The 19,985-nt window shown below is 35.8% G+C and overlaps 1 protein-coding gene across 5 annotated transcripts in view, besides 2 other annotated features; it reads right to left on the bottom strand.

Moving 5' to 3' along the window:
• The window catches only part of PALS2 (protein associated with LIN7 2, MAGUK p55 family member), a 120,742-nt gene that overhangs the window by 84,664 nt on the left and 16,093 nt on the right, over positions 1 to 19,985 (bottom strand). The window lies entirely within an intron of this gene.
• Positions 13,443 to 13,502: an enhancer, noted in NCBI's record as "active region_25748". NCBI's record gives its function as "activates an Ori minimal core promoter by ATAC-STARR-seq in GM12878 lymphoblastoid cells {active_cell/tissue: GM12878}" and the evidence as "EXISTENCE:reporter gene assay evidence [ECO:0000049][PMID:35858748]".
• Positions 13,563 to 13,872: an enhancer, noted in NCBI's record as "active region_25747". NCBI's record gives its function as "activates an Ori minimal core promoter by ATAC-STARR-seq in GM12878 lymphoblastoid cells {active_cell/tissue: GM12878}" and the evidence as "EXISTENCE:reporter gene assay evidence [ECO:0000049][PMID:35858748]".

Below are 19,985 nucleotides of genomic sequence, written 5' to 3'. Positions count from 1 at the left end.
AGGTGTTATAACAACCAAAAGTTCCCCTTAATACATTTCCCAGTAACTCTAGGGGTGGTGCCATTTTCTTCCCTTCTGTTCTTCCACTCAAAGCCTTACCCTAATATGTCCCATATCCAGAGTACTCTTCCTTCTTAATTTAGTTATTTTAAGGGCTCCCACCTGCTCTCTGCCTATAAATCTGAAGCAGCAGTCTGCCTGAGGACAAACCCACCACTTACTCAGTGCCTGACCATGACGTCCCATTCCAGGTAGAAGGCTGGTGGGAGGAGGGGAGGAGCAGCCTACACAAATACAGAGGAAATCCTCATCAGATATAATCCTGAATCATCACCCTAGTCCTTCATTTATAAATAAAACTCAGCAATTATATCACCAGGCATTTGAAGAAAACATCAGTGACAGCGGGTAAACTAAGCAAACTAAACTGGGGGAAAAACAGATGGTGCTGAGAATAGAAGAGAATTTTAACATTTTATTTTTGTTAGCATTCTGAGAGATATGTGAGAAGCTACTGTGTTCATAAAAGAACAAGTCACTAAAAGGAAGCAAAGGAGCAACCAAAAAATAAGAAAGTTCCTGGCACTTAAAAACATTATTGTCAAATTTAAATCTAAGGTTGGCCATGCTGCCTCACACCTGTAATGCCAGCATTTCAGGAGGCTGAGGTGGGAGGATGGCTTAAGGCCAGGAATTTGAGACCAGCCTGGGCAATAGAGAAAGACCTCATCTCTACAAAAAGAAAATATAAATAAATTAGTTAGCTGGGCATGGTGGCAATGTGCCTGTAGTCCCAGATACTTGGGAGGCTGAGACAGCAGAATCACTTGAGCCAAAGAGTTCAAGGTTATAGTGAGCTGTGACTGTGCTACTAGGTAACAGCAAGACACTGTTTCTAAAATAAAAACAAAAATTAAAATTAAAATTAAAATGTAACAGCAGACTAAATGACAGAATAAAGTTGAAACTGCTAATCCAGAAAATCAAGTCAAGTTAATCTTCCAAATGCAGAACAAAGATGACAAATATGAGTAAAGTTAGAACCCAGAAGCAAATCCAACACTACCTATTAAGAGTTTCATAAGACAAGAATAGAATAAGTGTGAGAGGAAATAGTTGAAGAAGTAATAGAAGAAAATGTATTTGAGTTTAAATGACACAGAAAACTTTAGAATGAAGGGGTCTACCATGTGCAGAGCAGATGGAATGAAAATGGCCCAAATCTAGAAACACTAAGTGAAACCTCAGAATGTTTAAAACATAAAAAAATGGGGATTTCCAGAAAGAAAAATGTTAATGTAAAAGGAACAATAATCAAACCTGCATGACATTTATTACTGATAGTACTGAACAACAGGAGATAATGGAGTAGACTCCAAAGTTGTGATGAACAGTGAGTAAAAAAACCTTTACATATAACATTTAAAAAAATCCATTACAGGTTCACACATATGTATATAAATATGTGTATGTATGTGTATATAAACACACATGTATGTGGTAAAAGATGTAGTCTAATTACATTGAAATATTTAAAAATCAAAAAACAAAAACTGATCTTCTCCCCTAAAGAAGTCTCTTTCTAGCCTTTTAGACAAATTTACACAAAACTTTCAGACAAAATTGAATACATCAATTTTTATTTACATGAATGCAATTGTTTAATAAAATCTTAGTGATTTTTCCATATTGAAGCTCATTCTTTTAGAGATACCTAGTACTTCATTGTATGCATGCATCAAAATTTATCTCGTCTGTCCTCTACTGAAAGACATACAGGCTGCTTCCATTTCTGCAGTTGTAATTAGTGTGGCAATCAGCATCCAAAAACAAATACACATACACACACATATGTATATGTGTGTGTATACATACGCATACATATACATACATATATGTATATATACACACATATATATGTATATATACACACACATATATGTATATATACACACATATATGTATATATACACATACATATATACACGTGTATATATACACACACATATATACACATATATATACACATATATATCATGTGTGTGTTCAGAGAGAGAGAGAGAGAGATACACATACATTAGCAAGTAAACACTAAGAGCTAAAAGTAGAATTCCTAGATCAAAGGATACATGATTTTTCAATTGTCAGATACTGTCATACTGTCCTTTAAACAGGTTGTAGCAATGACATTTTCATTAAGAGGGCTTCATTTCATTATATGTTAGAATAATAATAATGAATTGCTTCATAAAACACTCCAGTATAAATGCTGAGGACATGTGTGGCAAAAGGAGTGATTAAATAGAGTAAAAACTAAATTCTGAATTATAATCTCATTTTCCCCAATGTAGTATTTTTAAAAAATCTAACCACACATCTATCTTCTTACCTGAAAAATATAAATGACATTGATACAACTCATAAGGTTATACAGGTTGAACATCTCTAATCCAAAAATCTGAAATGCTCCCAACTCCAAAATTTCTTGCGCACCAACAGGACACCACAAGTGGAAAATTCCACACCTGACCTCACGTGACAGGTCATAGTCAAAACTTTGTTTCATGCACAAAATTAAAAGCACTATATAAAAGTACTTTCATGCTATGTACACAAAGTGTACATGAAGCATAAATGAATTTTATGTTTAGACTTGGGTCCTCTCCCCAGACAACTTATTATGTATTTGCAAATATTCCAAAATCCAGAAAAATCCCAAATCTGAAACACTTCTGGTTCCAAGCATTTCAGATTAGGGATACTCAACCTGTATAATAAAAGTAAATAGGCCAGGAGCAGTGGCTCATTCCTATAATCCTAGAACTTTGGGAGGCTGAGGCAGGAGGATTGCTTAAGCCCAAATTCAAAACCAGTCTGGGCAACATAGCAAGACCCCATCTCAAAAAAACAAAATGAAACAAAAAAAAACCTAATTAAATGCCTACTTTACTAAAAACATAAATGCTATTCTATTTTATCTATATTCTGCAACTCATCAACCATCTCTTTCTGACTAATTTTTCAAAGTGTCAGTGAAAAACTAATCTCAACAACAAATGCTAGAATATGAAAAGCCAGAGCTCAAAATATAAAGATAGTACTTAAATTCACTTTGACATAGTATCTCAAGGCCCTCTCCTATCACCTATAAAATCATTTTCTTCTTAAAAGAACTGTGGAAGACAAATTATTTCCATTTATTGCCACAGTGTCTTGGAGTCTGTTTCCTTTTTACAATCTATGAAGGTTGTAATTAGGGTAAAGTATTTCTAGCAGAAAATACTTGATTCATAAGATGACGATTTAAAGAATTAAGAGTAATTGTTAATAAGTTTCATTCATAGTAATTCTTAACTGTAGGCATAAAGAAATCTTGTAACTTGAAATGCACCTGTTAAAGTTATTAAAAGATATTATTGAATGTGACACATACTGAAATGGCTTACTACTAGGAAAGAAATCCATGATAAAAAGCACAAACTAACATATAAGTCATGGGATTTTAAAAGATGAAATGTTCTATATAAGGAGATCATCTTTGGGTTGACAAATCCATGACTTGAGAAATGATGCCAAGCATGTTTCACCTAATAAAATCTTTTATATAAGGGTGCTTAATTTTATTTCATCAAATGGTTTTCTTTAATCTCTGTGAATTTGTATAGAAACTTCTAGGAATCCTCATGATGTTGACTTTCCATATACATAGCTGATAGCTTGGGCAATCCATTTGTTAAATTATTGTTTTATTACACAGGTATACATAAATTAATTTTGTAAAAAATTTCAGGTATTACTGGATAGAGACAAGAGCCTTTTTAACTTGGCCAGCTTTCCATCTCTGCTCTTTCCCTAGGGGTAATGCATGTTATACTTTGTTTTTATGTGTTTATAGACCTATTCTTTATGTCTTTATAGACCTATTCTTTATGTCTTTATAGACCTATTCTTACATATTTACATATTTGTATCTGTAGAAAATATGAAGATATATGCTTCATTTCTATACTTATATAAATATCTAAAACATAATGTGTTACTGTATTTATATAAGTAATATCTTACTATATCAGTGATATATGAAACTTATTTTCCCACAGAAAAATGTATTTTGGAGAACATTTCACATTAGTACATATGAAACCATGTTATTCTTTTAGTTGTTGCAGATTCATAGGATGAGTGTAGTTTATTTAGCGTCTGAGGAACATGGCAGTTGTTTCTATTTTTCCCATGTCTTCAAGAAATGCTGCAGTGAACATCCTAATGAATTTCATCATTAGAAACAATATTGCCCATATCACAATGATTTCTTTCACTTGATAACAAAGTTGTGACTATGAAAGTTTAGTAATAGTAAAATGTTGAAAATCTTTTATTACAAACATTACTCAATTTCTGATAATATTGGCATGAAGAGATTGGCAGTTCCCCTCTGCAAAAAAGCAAATATAAAACTGGACAGCATCATCAAAGGCAGTCTTTTAAGGGTGCTGAAAATTGCCCAAAGGCCGTTATAAAAATGAGGCACATTTATTCTGGCAAAACTGCTAGAGCTTGAGGTAAGAACAGTGTGACTCTGTGGCCTTCTTGCCTGGGGCTGTCCCCATGTACCTCCCCAGGGCCCCAGCTCAGTTGGTGATAACCGAAGCTTGATCAGTGCTATGGCCTAGGCGTTTGTGTCCCTCCCAGATTCATATGCTAAAACCCTAATTCCCAGTGGGATGGTATTTGGAGGTGGAGTCTTTGGGGAGGTGATTAGGGTTAGACTAGGTCATGAGGGTGGAGCCCCCATCTTGGCAGGAATGCCCTTATCAGAAGCTGAAAGGACCAGAGCTCACTGTCTCTGCCAAGTTAGGGTATAGTGTGCTTATTTCATCTTACTGAAATTCTTTTTAAGTTTTATTTTCTACCAGAATTTAGTAAAACTTTGAGATGGTTTGGGGCCACTATTACTTCAAATATTTTTTTCTGTCTCTCTCTTTCCTTTCTGTCTGAAACTCCCATTACATGTGTGTTGGAATGTTTGACATTGTCCCACATGTCTCCAAGGCTTTGTTCCCTATTCTTACAAATCTCTTTTCTTTCTCTTGTTGGAATACTTTTTATTGATCTTCACATTTTCTCTGCCATCTTAAATCTGTTGAGCCTATCCAATGAAATTTTCATTTCAAATACTGTGCTTTTCAAATCTAAAATCTCTACTTGGTTCTTTTTGAGTTTGCTTCTTTACTGAGGTTCTCTATTTATTGTGTCCTGTTAGCATCTTGTTCACATATTTTTCTTTTTTCCTTTTTTTTTTTTTTTTTTCTTTTCTTGAAAGAAACAGGGTCTTTACTGCCCAGGCTAGACTGATGTGGGTATTCACAGGTGTGATCATAGTCTTGAACTACCGGGCTCAAGTAATCCTCCCACCTCAGCCTCCTGTGTAGCTGGGACTACAGGCACATGTCACAATGCCCAGACTGTATTTTCCTTTAATTCTTTCAATATATTCTAAATAGCCAATTTGAAGTCTTCATTAAATCCAACACTGAGCCCAGTCAGAGTCCGTTTTATTGACTATTTTTCCCGATGATGACTCACATTTTCCTGGTATTTCTTTTCTTTGCCATGTCTAGCAGTTTGGGGTTGAATATGGAACCCTTAACAGTAACTCTAGATTTATTATTTTTTTTTCAGAGTTTGAGTTTTTAAATAATTGGTCTAGACTTAAACTGCAGAATCTGTTTCCCTCCAAGGTATGCTGTCAGGACATCCGTTTAATATTTTAATTCTTATTTTTACATTTTAGTCTGACTCTCTTGGGGTTGTACCTATGTCTGTAAAGCTTAATGATGGACCAATATTGTGCTCCAACAGCCATTTGAGCCAATGTTGTGGACAAATCAGCAACGGCTGTGTTCAAAAACCTCAAGCTTTTAAGACTTCACTCTCAGTGAGTTGAGCTGTGATGGACTGGGAAATGCATTCAAAGTTGCAGCCAGTTGTCAAGTCCCCATCAGCTTTCACTTTTTTCCAGGCTCTCCTGGGTCTCTATGTGGAGAGCTCATCTTAACCCTTCCATGGCTCTCTCATTTCTAGGATTTCCCTATTAAATTTCTGCTGGTCCACAATGTCAAATTAGCACAGCAGCAGGTTTTCTCTATTTGTTTCCAACCAAATCCACCACTTTTCACCAGCAAAGTCACAGGTTTAGTTTGTGTGTCTTCTCTTTCTTCCCTAGCCTGAATCAAGTCACTCCACAACTTTTGGGCAGCAAAGCTGCTGGTTTTCTCAGCTAGTCCTAAGCTCACTGTCTCAGTTAATTCAGGCTGCTATGACAAAAATATAGCCTGGGTAGCTTAAATGACAGAAATTTATTTCTCACAGGTCTGAAGGCTGGGAAGTCCAAGATCAAGGTGCTGGCTCACTTCCTGGTTTACAGAGGGATGCCTTCTTACTGTATTAGTCTGTTCCCATGCTGGTATGACCCAAGACTGGGTAATTTATGAAGAAAAGAGGTTTAATTGACTCACAGTTCCACATGGCTCCCCAGCCTCAGGAAACTTACAATCATGGTGGAAGGCACCTCTTCACAGGGCAGCAGGAAAGAGAATGAGTGGCAGCAGGGAAAATACCAGATGCTTATATAACCATCAGATCTTGTGAGAACTCATTTACTATCAAGAGAACAGGAAACCACCCTCATGATTCAATTACCTCCCACCAGGTCCCTCCCATGACATGTGGGAATTATGGGATTACAATTCAAGATGAGATTTGGGTGGGGACAGAAAGCCAAACCATATCACCCACCTTCCTCCACTACACAGAACTGAAAACTAGGGGCTTATTTTCTGGAGAGAGTAAGATAAGAGGTACCTCTCGACCAAAGACAATGAAATAATATAGAAGACAGGATTATTAAATGCTGATACAAACCCCTCCACCTGATTCTCCCTCCTGACTATCTGAAGCCTTCAGCTTGGTCTTTACTTTCCAGGCAGATGTGAAGTCTTCTTCATAGTCTACAGAATATGACCAGTCAACAAGAAAGACACAGACATGAAGATCAGGTATTACCCCCAAATAACCCAGCTACAAACTAGCTACAGTGACATTCAACATGAAATCAGAGCATCAGGTTTTTAGTCCCCCACTCTTAATGAGCTAAGAATCTTGGGATACTGGATAGCTGAGAAAAGCCTAGTAAATGAAAGAGATTAAAATAAACAAATAGGTAAAAACTACTCAGGTTGAAAAAAGAAACAGTTATAAAAATTATCAAAGAAAAAGAAGAATATCATACTCATGAAACTAGAATAAGATAGTTACAGAGGAAACAAAAGAGCTCTTAGAAAATAAAAATACAAAAGCAGAAAGAAAAAATTCAATGGAAATCATGGAAGGTAAATGTGAGGAAATACCACAAAAAGTAGAAAAGCACAGGAGTAGAAAAACAGAAGAAAATTAGAGAACCTGATTAGAGGGCATCTAAACCAGATGGGTTTTGGAAAGAAAGGAGAGACAAAATGGAGGGGAGAAAAACAATAATGAAATATTTAACATTTTCCAGAAATGAAAGATGTAAGTTGCTGGAGTACACTGAGCACCCAGCAAAACAGATGAAAATGGACTCATATTAAGATATTTTGTTGTGAAATATCAGAATACTGAGAAAAAAGAAAAAAATCACGTGTCAAGAATCAGGAATGATTCTGAATGGCTCAATGATGACATCTAAAGGTAGAAGATGATGCAATGATGCCTTTAAAAACATTTCCCCCAGGAATTCTTTACCCTGCCAAACCATCAATCAAGTGTGAGGATAGTTAAAAATAATTTTCAGACTTGCTCATAAGGTTTCACAAAATTAACCTACCACAAACACTTTTCCTCAGAAAGATTAAAAACAAAAACAAAAAAAAAGACATGCTGCTCTCAAAGCATGAAACAAGCAAAACATAAAGAGGGAGACAGAGAATACAGGATCTAGAAGGCCCAACTCAGGAAAAAGGCAAAGATAATTTCTAAGAAGATCGGTGACACGTGTACACCAGCTTCAGAAAATGAGTCCGTATTCAGCTTAGAAGGCTCCAGGAGTGACATCTTCAAGAAAATGAAGTTGACAAATCAGAATGAATGCACTGAAAGTTGATTTTGAAAACAAGCACAGATTTCGGGGTTGAATTATAGCCAAGTGGCATATACAAAAAAATGAAGCAAATAAATGAAGTCTGAGAAAATGAAAATACAGGAATAGAGAATAGCAACTACAATTTACTAGTGGATCTGCTAACAAATACTAATCTAATCAAAATTACTAATATAATTAGGGTGAAAGAACTGAGGGATTGGAAGAGTATATGATATGCATACGTGGTGAAGGAAAATGTAAAGAGCTAAATCCTCATCCTCCATAATGGTTAAAACCAAAAAAATAAGAATTAGCAACATAAGCACACCATTTACTGACATGATACCAAAACAGTCAGCTAAAAATGTTCGATGTAGTAGCCTCCTGGGAGGAAGAAACAGAAATAGAGTTGGGGAGCACCTCTAGTCTTTCATCCATATGTGCATTAATAGTTTTAATAAAAAATAAAAACCTAAAAAAAAAGTATATCTATCATGTGTAAATAGTTACTAGTTTGCATGCTGAAAAATCAAATAATTATAACCACTTTTCTAGAGTTAAAAACAGGCAAGATTTTTTCGCTTGAGGACAGAAACCTGGAGAAGACAAAGTCATCCTTAGATGACATGGTTTCTTAAATTCTTTTTTATCTATACTATGACATGAAATATATTTCAGTAAAACATTCAACTAAAACGTAAGATGTAAAAACTATAATTTAAAAACCTATAAAAAATAGTTAAATGGCTATTCTTTATATTTATAAATGTAACGATTTAACTTATACAAAATGAACTGCTTCTACTTACTGCCATGTTTATCTAGTGTCACCATAAATTTTCCTTAACTGGCACACTACCAATTCCATTCTCATAAGAAACTGGGGCTCAAAAATTATTGACCTACAATCAAACATAATTCACATTTGAATATTATATGTTATACTTAAAATAACAAACCTTTTTTCTTCTTTGTCCTTGATTCAGGGGGAAATGACATGGATCTTGTTATGTAAGATATTTTATAAGCTACTAGAATTACCTCATCAATTTGGATACAGTCATGTACCACATAACATTATTTCAGTCGACCAAAGACTACATATACAACAGTGGTTCCAAAAGATTATAATGCAGCTGAATAATTCTCTCAAGAAAATGTACAGTGAAGGGTTTAGCAGAAGTTTTTGCAGACTTCAACAAGCTGCTTAACAAGTTTGAAAACATGAACCCCAACAATGAAAGGTTTTCATTACTAGAGAGGAATGTTCATAGATCTGCTTACAAGCAAATCTATGATGAAAAACAGAAACAAACCCAAGGAAACCACCATGAACAGATTTCTGAAAAGAGTGACACCCCCGCAAGAAGATCCTCAGGCAGGTTCTTCAGGAGATTCCAGAAGAAGGCACTGTTATCATAGGAAATGATAGCTCCATGGGTGTTACTGCCCCCTGAAGACTTTCCAGTGGGACATGATGTGAAGGTAGAAGACACTGATATTGATGATCCTGACCCTGTGTAGGCCAAGGCTAATGTGTTTGCATCTTAGTTTTTAATAAAAAAGATTAAAAGGTTAAAAAAAATTAATAGAAAAAAGCTTATAGGGCTGGGTGCAGTGGCTCACACCTGTAATCCCGGCACTTTGGGAGGCTGAGGCAGGTGGACCACTTGAGGTCAGGAGTTCAAGACCAGCCTGGCCAACATGATGAAACCTCGACTCTACTAAAAATACAAAAAACAGCCAGGTGCGGTGGTGCACACCTGTAATCCCAGCTACTTGGGAGGCTGGGACGGGAAAATCACTGGAACCCAGGAGGCAGAAGTTGTAGTGAGCCCAGATCACACCACTCCACTCCAGCCTGGGTGACAGGGCAAGACTCCATAAAAAAAAAAAAAAAAAAAAGCTTATAGAAGATATTAAAAAAGAAAATATTTTTGTACAGCTGTACAATGCATTTGTATTTTAAGCTAAGTGTTATTACAAAAGAGCTGGAGTTTAGAAAGTAAAAAAGTTATAGTAAGATAAGGTTAATTTAATACTGAAGAAAAAATTTAAAAAATAAATTTCTTATAGTCTACAGTAGTGTACAATAATGTCCTAGGCCTTCACATTCACTCACCACTCACTCACCCAGAGCAACTGCCAGTTCTGCAAGCTCCATTCATGGTAAGCCACAAGTGTAAAATGTTATACAGGTTTGTAGCCTAGGAACAATAGGCCAAATAGCCCACATGTATAACAGACTATACCATCTATGTGTGTGTTAGTACAATCTATGTTTGTGTTAGTACTCTCTATGTTTGCACGATCATGAAATCGCCCAATGATGCATTTCTCAGAATGTATCCCCTTTGTTAAGTGATGCACGACTGTATTTTATTCCTGCCTCATTCAACACTCGGTGTGTTTTTTACTTTTGATTATGTATCATCCTTTAAAGTACTGGGCGAAATATTTCACAAAAGTATATACAAAGCACTGCATTAAAAATAAGCACAAAAAACATTTTTGACAGTAAAAATAAGTTGGAAACAAATTATCTTCTTCAAAGGCATAATGTCTCCCAGTCATCCCTTCTGGGCATGAATGCTCACATTAACAAGACAGAGAAACACAGACACACCATACACAGAATCCTTGCATGGAATATTAAAACATAGTCCAAATATTAGAAAACTTTGATTGTGTGTGTACACATAAAACCTTGCTCATAATAGCCTTATTTATTTAGCACAGTTTCAGAAATTTGCGAATTCCAAAGAGGTCCTAACTCAGTGAAACAGCAGATTATCCAATCTATAATGAACAGGTTATTTTAAGTTTTAACCTCACATTTCTTATATGAAAGACTTCTGGTTATAAGAAACTTAGGCAATCTGATAATTTGTTCAATGTAGTGAAAGAACACTTTAAATAGATGAAATTACAACTGAACAACAGTACTATTTTAATATGTTTTCCTCACTGCAAATTTCCCTATAGCAAGCATCAACACTATAGACAACTGGATATCCTTGTTAGCCCTTCACTTCTAACAACTAAAGACTGAGCTGGGTACGTTTTGAAAATACTGGTAATAAAATGAACTAAAAATATGAACTAAAAAGACAATAACTTGTCCTTCATAAATTTAAGTTACATGAAAATACCTGTTTCAAATGTTGTAGAACTTTTCACAAGTCCTTTTCTATAATGATAATTTTCTGCTTTAACAGAACTTCCTTTATATACTTTGGTTTGATAAAACAGCATTAATGATGTAGTTCACATTTGGACTCAGTGAAAAGATCTCCCCAGTGGCCTAGCAATAGCTTGCCTGCACACATTTCAATATAGGCAGCCCTAGGCAAATCATGAAGTAATCATCTCCCCTCACCTCTTATTTTCCACAGCTCTTTTCTCCATTCCAGGGCCTTCCTTCCTATTCTTATCCCCAAGTATTGCAATATTCTCAAATTGCCCTGGTCCTACAAAAAGAAACAAGCTCCCAAATACTGCTGCACAATCCTATTACTTGCCCCTTCTCAAGTTCTCTCATATTCTCTATTTCAAACATTTACCACACTAAATTGTCAAAAGACTACTTTGTCAGAAGAAAAAGGAAAAAAAGAGCTTATCACCTATGATTTACTGAAATTCCCTTTCACTTGCAGAATCAAATACATTACCATCATTCTTTATTCCTTGTATCTCAGGAGAAAGTATGCCCTTCCTCCTCTACAAGGCTACTACCTGTCAATGAATCAACTACTTCCCACCCACTGTGGGACCATGATCCATGGGTTATTCCTCTAAAACTTCAATATTTTTTCATTTGCTATTTCTGCATCTATAAATGTGCTAACATCTTCTCCATCCTTAAATAGTAACTTTTAAAAATCCCTATATGGAACCTCATTTCTCTTTTAAGTCACAGCCTTATCTCTCTCCTTTTCCCCACCACACTTTTCAAAGAGTAGTCTGTATTATGCGTTATCTTTCCAGTTCTCCACCCGTGCCATCTCAGCCACAGCTCTCCTCAAACTTCTTGGAAAAGATCAGGAATGACAACTGACAAACCAGTCACATACTGTCTTCATTCTATTTAAGGACAGACTATCACTGCTGATGCTATCTCTCAGGTTTTCATTCTTTTCTTGAGTGATCTCATTTATTTCTGAGGCTTCATCTAGTTTCTATATGATGATAATTTCCAAGTATTAGTTACAGCACTCACCTTTCTTCAACTGCCTTCTTTACGTTTTTCCCCAGGGAGTCCCAAAGATGGTGCCTTTAATTTACCATTTTGAAAACTACTCACTGACTCTAACCAAGCCTACTGCGACTACAGATTCTACCTCTCATTTATATTACGACATCACCAACTACCCATTCTCTGATGCTTATAATCTCAGAATCATCCAATTTTTTTCTTCTCCCTAACCTCCAGACATCTAATTCTTCTTCAAATCTTTTCATTCTACTTCATAAAAGTCTCAAAGTAATCTTCACCACAATTCCACTCTAAAAATTTCACTGTCTGGTTTAGAGTTTCTAATATTCTCTTGCCTAGACTACTTTAAAAGCCTCTTAACTGGTATACTAATCCCCAATCTCTCCCCACCACAGTCCATGCTTCCTACTATGTCCAGAAATATCCTTGTTAAAGTGTAGTGCTCACACAGGAGAAAGCTAGATATACGGAGAGTCCTTTTTTTCCTTTTTAAACAGAGCTCAAATAAATAGCACTGTTGCCAATTTACTCTCACAATGTAGTAGTCCTGCTTTGAGTAAATTTTTATTCACCCAACCACTAATTAACAAAGCAAGTCAAAACTTCATTATTTTACAAGAAAATATGTAGTATAATGAATCAAAATTGTTTGAAAATGTTTTACACACCTAATAAACATTCATAAATGTGAAATATTATAGAATCACTGAGATATTTTATCAAATGTTCTAATTTGAATCCCAAAACTATGTAATTTTAGAATAAATTTCATTGATAGGGTCTGTTTTCAAAATAATACTTTATATATATACTTACAAAAATACCTAGAATTCATAACAGATCCAATGATAAACTGGTTCTTCAATTCGGTCACAATGGAGGTGACTGAAGAAAAGCCATCTGACTCCCTTGCCCATTCACTGCTATCCCCCTACGCTAAGCCACCATCAATTCTTGCCTGTCTGCTGCAGTAGTCACTTGACCAGTTCCCTTACCTTCACTCTCGTTCTCAACAATATTCTCCCCAGAGTGGCTAGAGCCATCATTTTAAAACACAAAACAGATTTTGTTACTCTCCTGCTAAAACTACCCAAAGGCTTCCCACTGTACTTAGAAAACTAGCCACACTCTTGACCATGGCCGCTTAGCGCCTTCATGATTTGTCACCCACTGTACCTCTCTGCGTTCAACTTCTCCAACTCTTTCCCTTTGTCTGCTTGTCTCCAGTCACACTGGGCTCCTTTCTGTTTTCAAACTAGACCAGTTCATCTCCCATCTCTCATTTCCCATCTTTACCATCTTCTGTTCTCTCTCCTTGAAATGCTCTTCCCAGAGATCCACACACATACCAATATTCTCTTCATTTTGTCACAGTGTAACTATTACCTCCCCAGAAAGTAAACCCAAGCATTCAATCTAAACTACGCTACCACCCTTACATACAGTCTTGTCACTCTCCATCCTTTTAGTTTCATTTTCATCACAGTACTCATCTGAAATTATTTTTTGCTTATGTTTCCCCTCACTAAAAATTCACTCATTGTTCTGTCTCCTCTGGCACTAGGACAGTGCTTGACACACAGTAGACATTCAAATATATATATATTTATATATATTTATATATATTTATATATAGTTAATATATATTTATATATTATATATTATATATTATATATATTATATATTATATATATTAAAAATATATAATATATATTTACATATTTATATATATTTATATATATTATATATTATGTATTTTATATATTTTTTATATATTTATATATATTTTTTATATATATATAAATAGTTGATGTCTCTCAAAGCTATATCACCCAAGCTTCAGATTTGTATTTCCTTGCCTACATCTCCACAGAAAATCTCCCATGGGCACCATAAAAATGAGCATATCCAGAAATTATCATGTTACTTCCTAAATCTGGTCTTCCTCCCGTATTGCCTATCTTAATAGCAACAATGAATAGCTGTTTGATCTCCTTTATTCTATCTAATCTGTCACGAAGAACTTTTGATTTAAATCTTGGCATATTTCTCAAATACTATCCCATTTTCTCTATCTCCACTGTCACTGCCTTAGTTCACTCTCTCATCATCTCTCACCTGAATATCTAAAACCTTCTACAGGCATACCTCATTTTACTGCACTTCATTTTATTGTGCTTCACAGATACTGTTTTTAAAAAAATTGAATGTTTGTGGCAACCCCACATTGATCAAGTCTATTGAAGCCATTTTTCCAACAGCATATGCTCACTTCATGTCTTTGTGTCACATTTTTGTAATTTTCACAATATTTCAAACTTTTTCATTACTATTATGCCAGTTATGATGATCTATGATCAGTAATCTTTTTAAACTTCACAATAAATACACACATTCATGGGGTAGTATTTCGATACATATAATGTATGGTGATAGGGTCAAGGTAATTACCATATCCATCACATCTGTGCTCTTTGATGTTACTACTGTTTACTGTTTTGGGGCACCATGAATCACCCCCATATAAGACAGCTGATAAATGTATGTGTTCTGACTCGTCTACCAACTGGCCATTCCTCGTCTCCCTCTCCTCAGACCTCCTTAATCCCTGAGACATAACGATATTGAAATGAGGCTAATTAATAATTCTACAATAATCTCTAAGAGTTCAAGTGAAAGGAAGAGGAGCAAGTCTCTCACTTTAAATCAAAAGCTAGAAATGATTACATTTAATAAGGAAGGGAAGTTGAAAGCAAAGAGGCTGAAAGGCCTCTTGAGCTAAACAGCCAAGTTGTGAATGCAAAGGAAAAGTTCTTGAGGGAAATTAAAAGTGCCATTCCAGTGAATACAGGAATAAGAAAGCAAAACAGCATTATTGATGATATGGGGAAAGTTTGAGTGGTCTGGAGATCAAACCAGTCACAGCATTCTCTTAAACCAAAGCCTAATCCAGAGTAAGGCCCTAACTCCCTTCAATTCTATGAAGGCTGAGAGAGGTGAAGAGCTACTGGAAAAAAGTCTGAAACTTGCACAGGTTGTTCATGAGGTCTATGGAAAGACGTCATCTCATAACATAAAAGTGTAAGGTGAAGCAGCAAGTGCCAATGTAGAAGCTGCAAGAAGTTACCCAAAAGATCTAGCTAAGATCATTGATGAAGGTGGTGACTATGCTACACAACAGATAGATTTTCAGTGCAGACAAAATAGCCTTTTATTAGCCACATAGGATTTCATAGCTAGTGAAAAGTCAATGCTTGGCCTCAAACCTTGAAAGGACAGTCTGACTCTTTAGTTAGAGGCAAACACAGGTGGTGACTTTTAAGCTGAAGCCAATCCTCATTTACCATTCTGAAAAATCCTGTCCCATAAAAATTATGCTAAATCTACTCTAACTGTGCACTATAAATGGAACAAAACCTTGATGACAGCACTTCGGTTTACAACAAGGTTTACTGAATTTATTAAGTCCACTGTTGAGACATACTGCTCAGAAAAAAAGATTCCTTTCAAAATATTACTGCTCATTGACAACTCACCTTGTCACCCAAGAGCTCTGATAGACATGCACAGCAGATGAATGTTATTTTCATGCCTGCTAATACAACATCTGTTTTGCAGCCCATGGATTAAGGAGTAATTCTGACTTTCAAATCTTATTTAAGAAATACATCTCATAAGACGATAGCTGCCATAGATAGTGATTCCTCTGATGGATGTGGGCAAATTGAAAACCTTTTGGAAAGGATTCACCATTTATGTCATTAAGAACACTTGTGATTCATGGGAGAAGGTCAAAATATCCTTCAAAATGTTGATTCACAGGAGTCTGGAAGAAGCTGAGTCCAACTCTCATCAATGACTTTGAGGGATTCAAGACTTCAGTGGGTAAGTCACTGCAGATGTGGTGGAAAAAGTAAGGGAATGAGAATTAGAAGTGAAGCCTGAAGATGTAGGCTACAATCTCATGATAAAACTTTAACAGAAGAGGAGTTGGTTTTTACAAGTGGGCAAAAAAAGTGGTTTCTTGAGATGGAATCTACTCCTGGTGAAGATGCTGTAAATATTGCTGAAATGACAACAAAGAATTTAGAATATTACATAAGTTTAGCTGGTAAAGTAGCAGGGTTTGAAAGGATTAACTCCAATTTTGAATGAAGTTCTACTATAGATAAAATGTTCTCAAACAGCAGCACATATTACCAATAAATCTTTCATGAAAAAAGAGTCTACCAATGTGGCAAACTTTATATCTGTCTTATTTTAAGAAATTACCACAGCCACTCCAACCTTCAACAACCACCACCCTGATCAGTCAGCAGCCATCAGCATCAAGGTAAGACCCTCCACCAGCAAAAGACTTCAACTCTCTGAAGGCTCTGATGATTACTAGCATTTTTAAGCTTTAAAGTATTTTTAAATCAAGGTATGTACATTTTTTAGTCATAATGCTATTGTATACTTAATAATCTACAGTGTAGTGTAATCATACTTTTACATGCACTGGGAAATAAAAAAATTTGTGTGATTTGCTTCATTGTGATATGTGTTTTATTGTAGCGGTCCAGAACTGAACCCGTGATATCTCTGAGGTATGCCTGTATTTATTTTCCTTACTTCATCTATACCCAATACCAAAGCAGTGTGAGCTTTCCAAAATACAAATATGACCATGTTTCTCCCCTGGCTAAAATCATCCAATAGTTTCCCATCACCTACAGAATCAAAATTCCTTAATACAGCATAAGGGCCTTCACATCCTCCTCTGTTAGCTGGCCAGTCCAAACGTCCCCACTTGCCTCTCCTTACAGGGGCCCTTTTATTCCAACCACTCTGGACCATTTGCCATTCCATAGATTCATTGCTTCATACTGCTGTAAATTCATCTTAATTGTCTCAAATGAAGCCTTCCCTGACCCAACCTAGCAGATTTACAATATACAGCACTTACCACATTATACAGTACAGTTGATTCTCATTATTCTGTGTTTGCGAATTTGCCTACTTGCTAAAATTTACTTTTAATCCAATAATCGATACTTACAGAGCTTTTGTGGTCATTAGTGGATATGCAGAGTGGTGAAAAATTTGAGTCACCCAACATTGCACAGTCCCAGCTGAGGTGGAAGAAAGCAACACTCTGCTTTCTTGTTTCGGCTCTCATACTAAAAACAAGTATCCTTTTCATAGTTTATTTTGTGCCACTTTTTTTTTTGCATTTTTCTGTTGTTTGTGATTTCACAAAATGGTCCCCAATCATAGCACTGAAGTGCTATCTAGTGTTTCTTTATCATGAAAAGGCTCTGGTGTGCTTTACAGAAAAATGTACATATTAGACAAGCTTTGTTCAGGCATAAGATATGGTAAGCTTGGCTATGAGTACAATGTTAATGAATCAATAATATATAATAAAGTATCTTTAAAGAGAAATACAGATAAAAAAGGCTATATATTGACCAGTTGATGAACATACTGTGACTAAAGGCTTGCAGGAACCTAACCCTGCATTTCCCCTAGAAGCAACACGGCTCAGCATTTGATAATTCTGCATTTGCAGAGACTTTATACACCATAACTATCTTGAATAATGAGAACTATTTTAATTTACATGTCTATCTCTAACACAAAATTAGTGGGTTCACTGAGGATATGGCATTTTATTTATTTTTGTACTCTAATTCTTAGTATTACTCCAGACACATCACATTTAATAAATACTCATTGGATGAAATTTTAAAATTCTGGCTTCTCATCATTGTAATGTGATTTGCTTTATATAGCTAGACTTTATGGTAAGAGCCCACGTATGTCAAGCTACACACTGCCCCCTATCTCAGTGAGGCCTTGCTCAACTGCATAATGGTCTGAATGTCATCCTCCATTCCTGACCCTGTCCCTCTTTTACAGCCAAAGACTATGCTTTTTAAATTCAAACTTAAAATGACAGTTAAATGGAAAGGTATTTACATTGATTTTTCCTAAGGTCAGTTGGTCCTAATAGACATAGTATACCTCAAAACTATTAGACACACTTCCAGTTAAAGTGGAAGACTGAACACACATGCCTATGTTCCCTCCCTCCTGAGGTCCCACTGAAATGACAAAACAGGTATGTAATTTTAAAAAAGAATAAAACAGCACTAATACTGGAGGGGAGGTGAGACAAAAATAAAAGAGAAAGAGATTAGCAAACCAGAAGTTTAGGAACTGCTTAGAAGTTAGAAAACAGATAAGAAAGGCTTGCTGGTTTGGCAAAGAAGGTACCCTTGAAAATCTGAAAATAATTCTCTCACAAAACATCTAAAAATGCAAAATAAAATACTGAAAACATCCCCTCAAAAAAAAAAAAAAAGTCCCCAAGAATATCCCTGTGAGCCAATATGAAGGGGAAAAAACAAACTAGTAAGTAGGTACTGAAGTTATGACTGCCCTGGGGTGTTTAGGATTTCAGTAACCAGGAGTTCAGAAGCTGCCATTTAGGCCCTGGCCTGTTCAAGATGAAAAATGCAACTTAGACCTTCCCACATGAAGCTGAGACCTTATAGGACTAACCCCTACTTTGTAAGAGTAGTCTAATAAAAACATGCCTGTTGGCCAAGGAAGACAATAAGGAAGTTGGCCTGTCTCAGATTGGACTCCATATTAGCAGAAAAAAATATCACCTGAGAATTAGTAATCACAGCCTACTCTCAAGGATTCAGGGTTCCAAATATACCTACCTGCCTAGTTCAGAACACCCCAAGCAGAGAAACTACGAAGTGGTCTTGGGTCAGTGGCTTCCACAGGTGCCAAAGAAAAGCCTTGGCAAACCTTGGAAAGAATGTGTCCTCTAACTGGGCTGCACAGAATTTCCTCCAATAAAACCCAGCGAAGCAAGAGCACACAATTCAAAAATCATCAAACAGTAACAAAAAGACAGGTAGCTGAAAACACAAGAAAGTAAGACTATCAGGAAAGAAAGCAGGTAAGATTGAAAAATCTTATCATCTAAGACTTTAGAAGTAAGCACAGTTCCTCCCAAGTGGACTTTCTCTGGGCCTCCCTCAAGAAGTCTGTGCGCACTTAAATATTCTTTTATACTAGAGTCAATACTTACTGTGTGAAATTGAAAACATAAACATATGCTTTCTAAGATGTATGTTTTTTAAAATTAGCATACCACCTCTCCCCAGTGAGCATTTGGAAATGTACTAGGCCATTTTTGATTGTCTCAGTAACTGTGGTAGAAAACCAAATATTAAGGGACACTAAACACTGAGTAGTGTTCAGGTCAGGACAATCCTGCATTGCAAAGTATAGTACTGCCAAAAATGCCAGTCATGAATTGAGAACCACTTTACTAATATAACTAAATCTGAAACTACTAACCATGATTAACTCTATGAAGTAAGAGTAGGGATAGAAACCTTTAACTTTCATGGTACATTCATTCTTCCATGCTGATTTTAACTTTGCATGTCATGTAGCATTAATAATTTTAAAAGCTTAATTAAAAATAAATTGATCATAAATAAGTAATGGGATGAGAGAACTATGTTACTCATTAACCAACATAAATTCCTCCCTCCAGGTACACTAGCTTGTTCAGAGCATTAACAATACAGAAATGCATTTGACTGCCCTGAAATTTCTACACTCAGAAAAGTAGTCTCT

This window comes from Homo sapiens, chromosome 7, assembly GCF_000001405.40.
Source record: "Homo sapiens chromosome 7, GRCh38.p14 Primary Assembly".
In the NCBI taxonomy this organism is placed as follows: Eukaryota; Metazoa; Chordata; class Mammalia; order Primates; family Hominidae; genus Homo; species Homo sapiens.
Note: the sequence above shows the minus strand (reverse complement) of the source record. Positions and strands in the feature narration are given on the sequence as shown.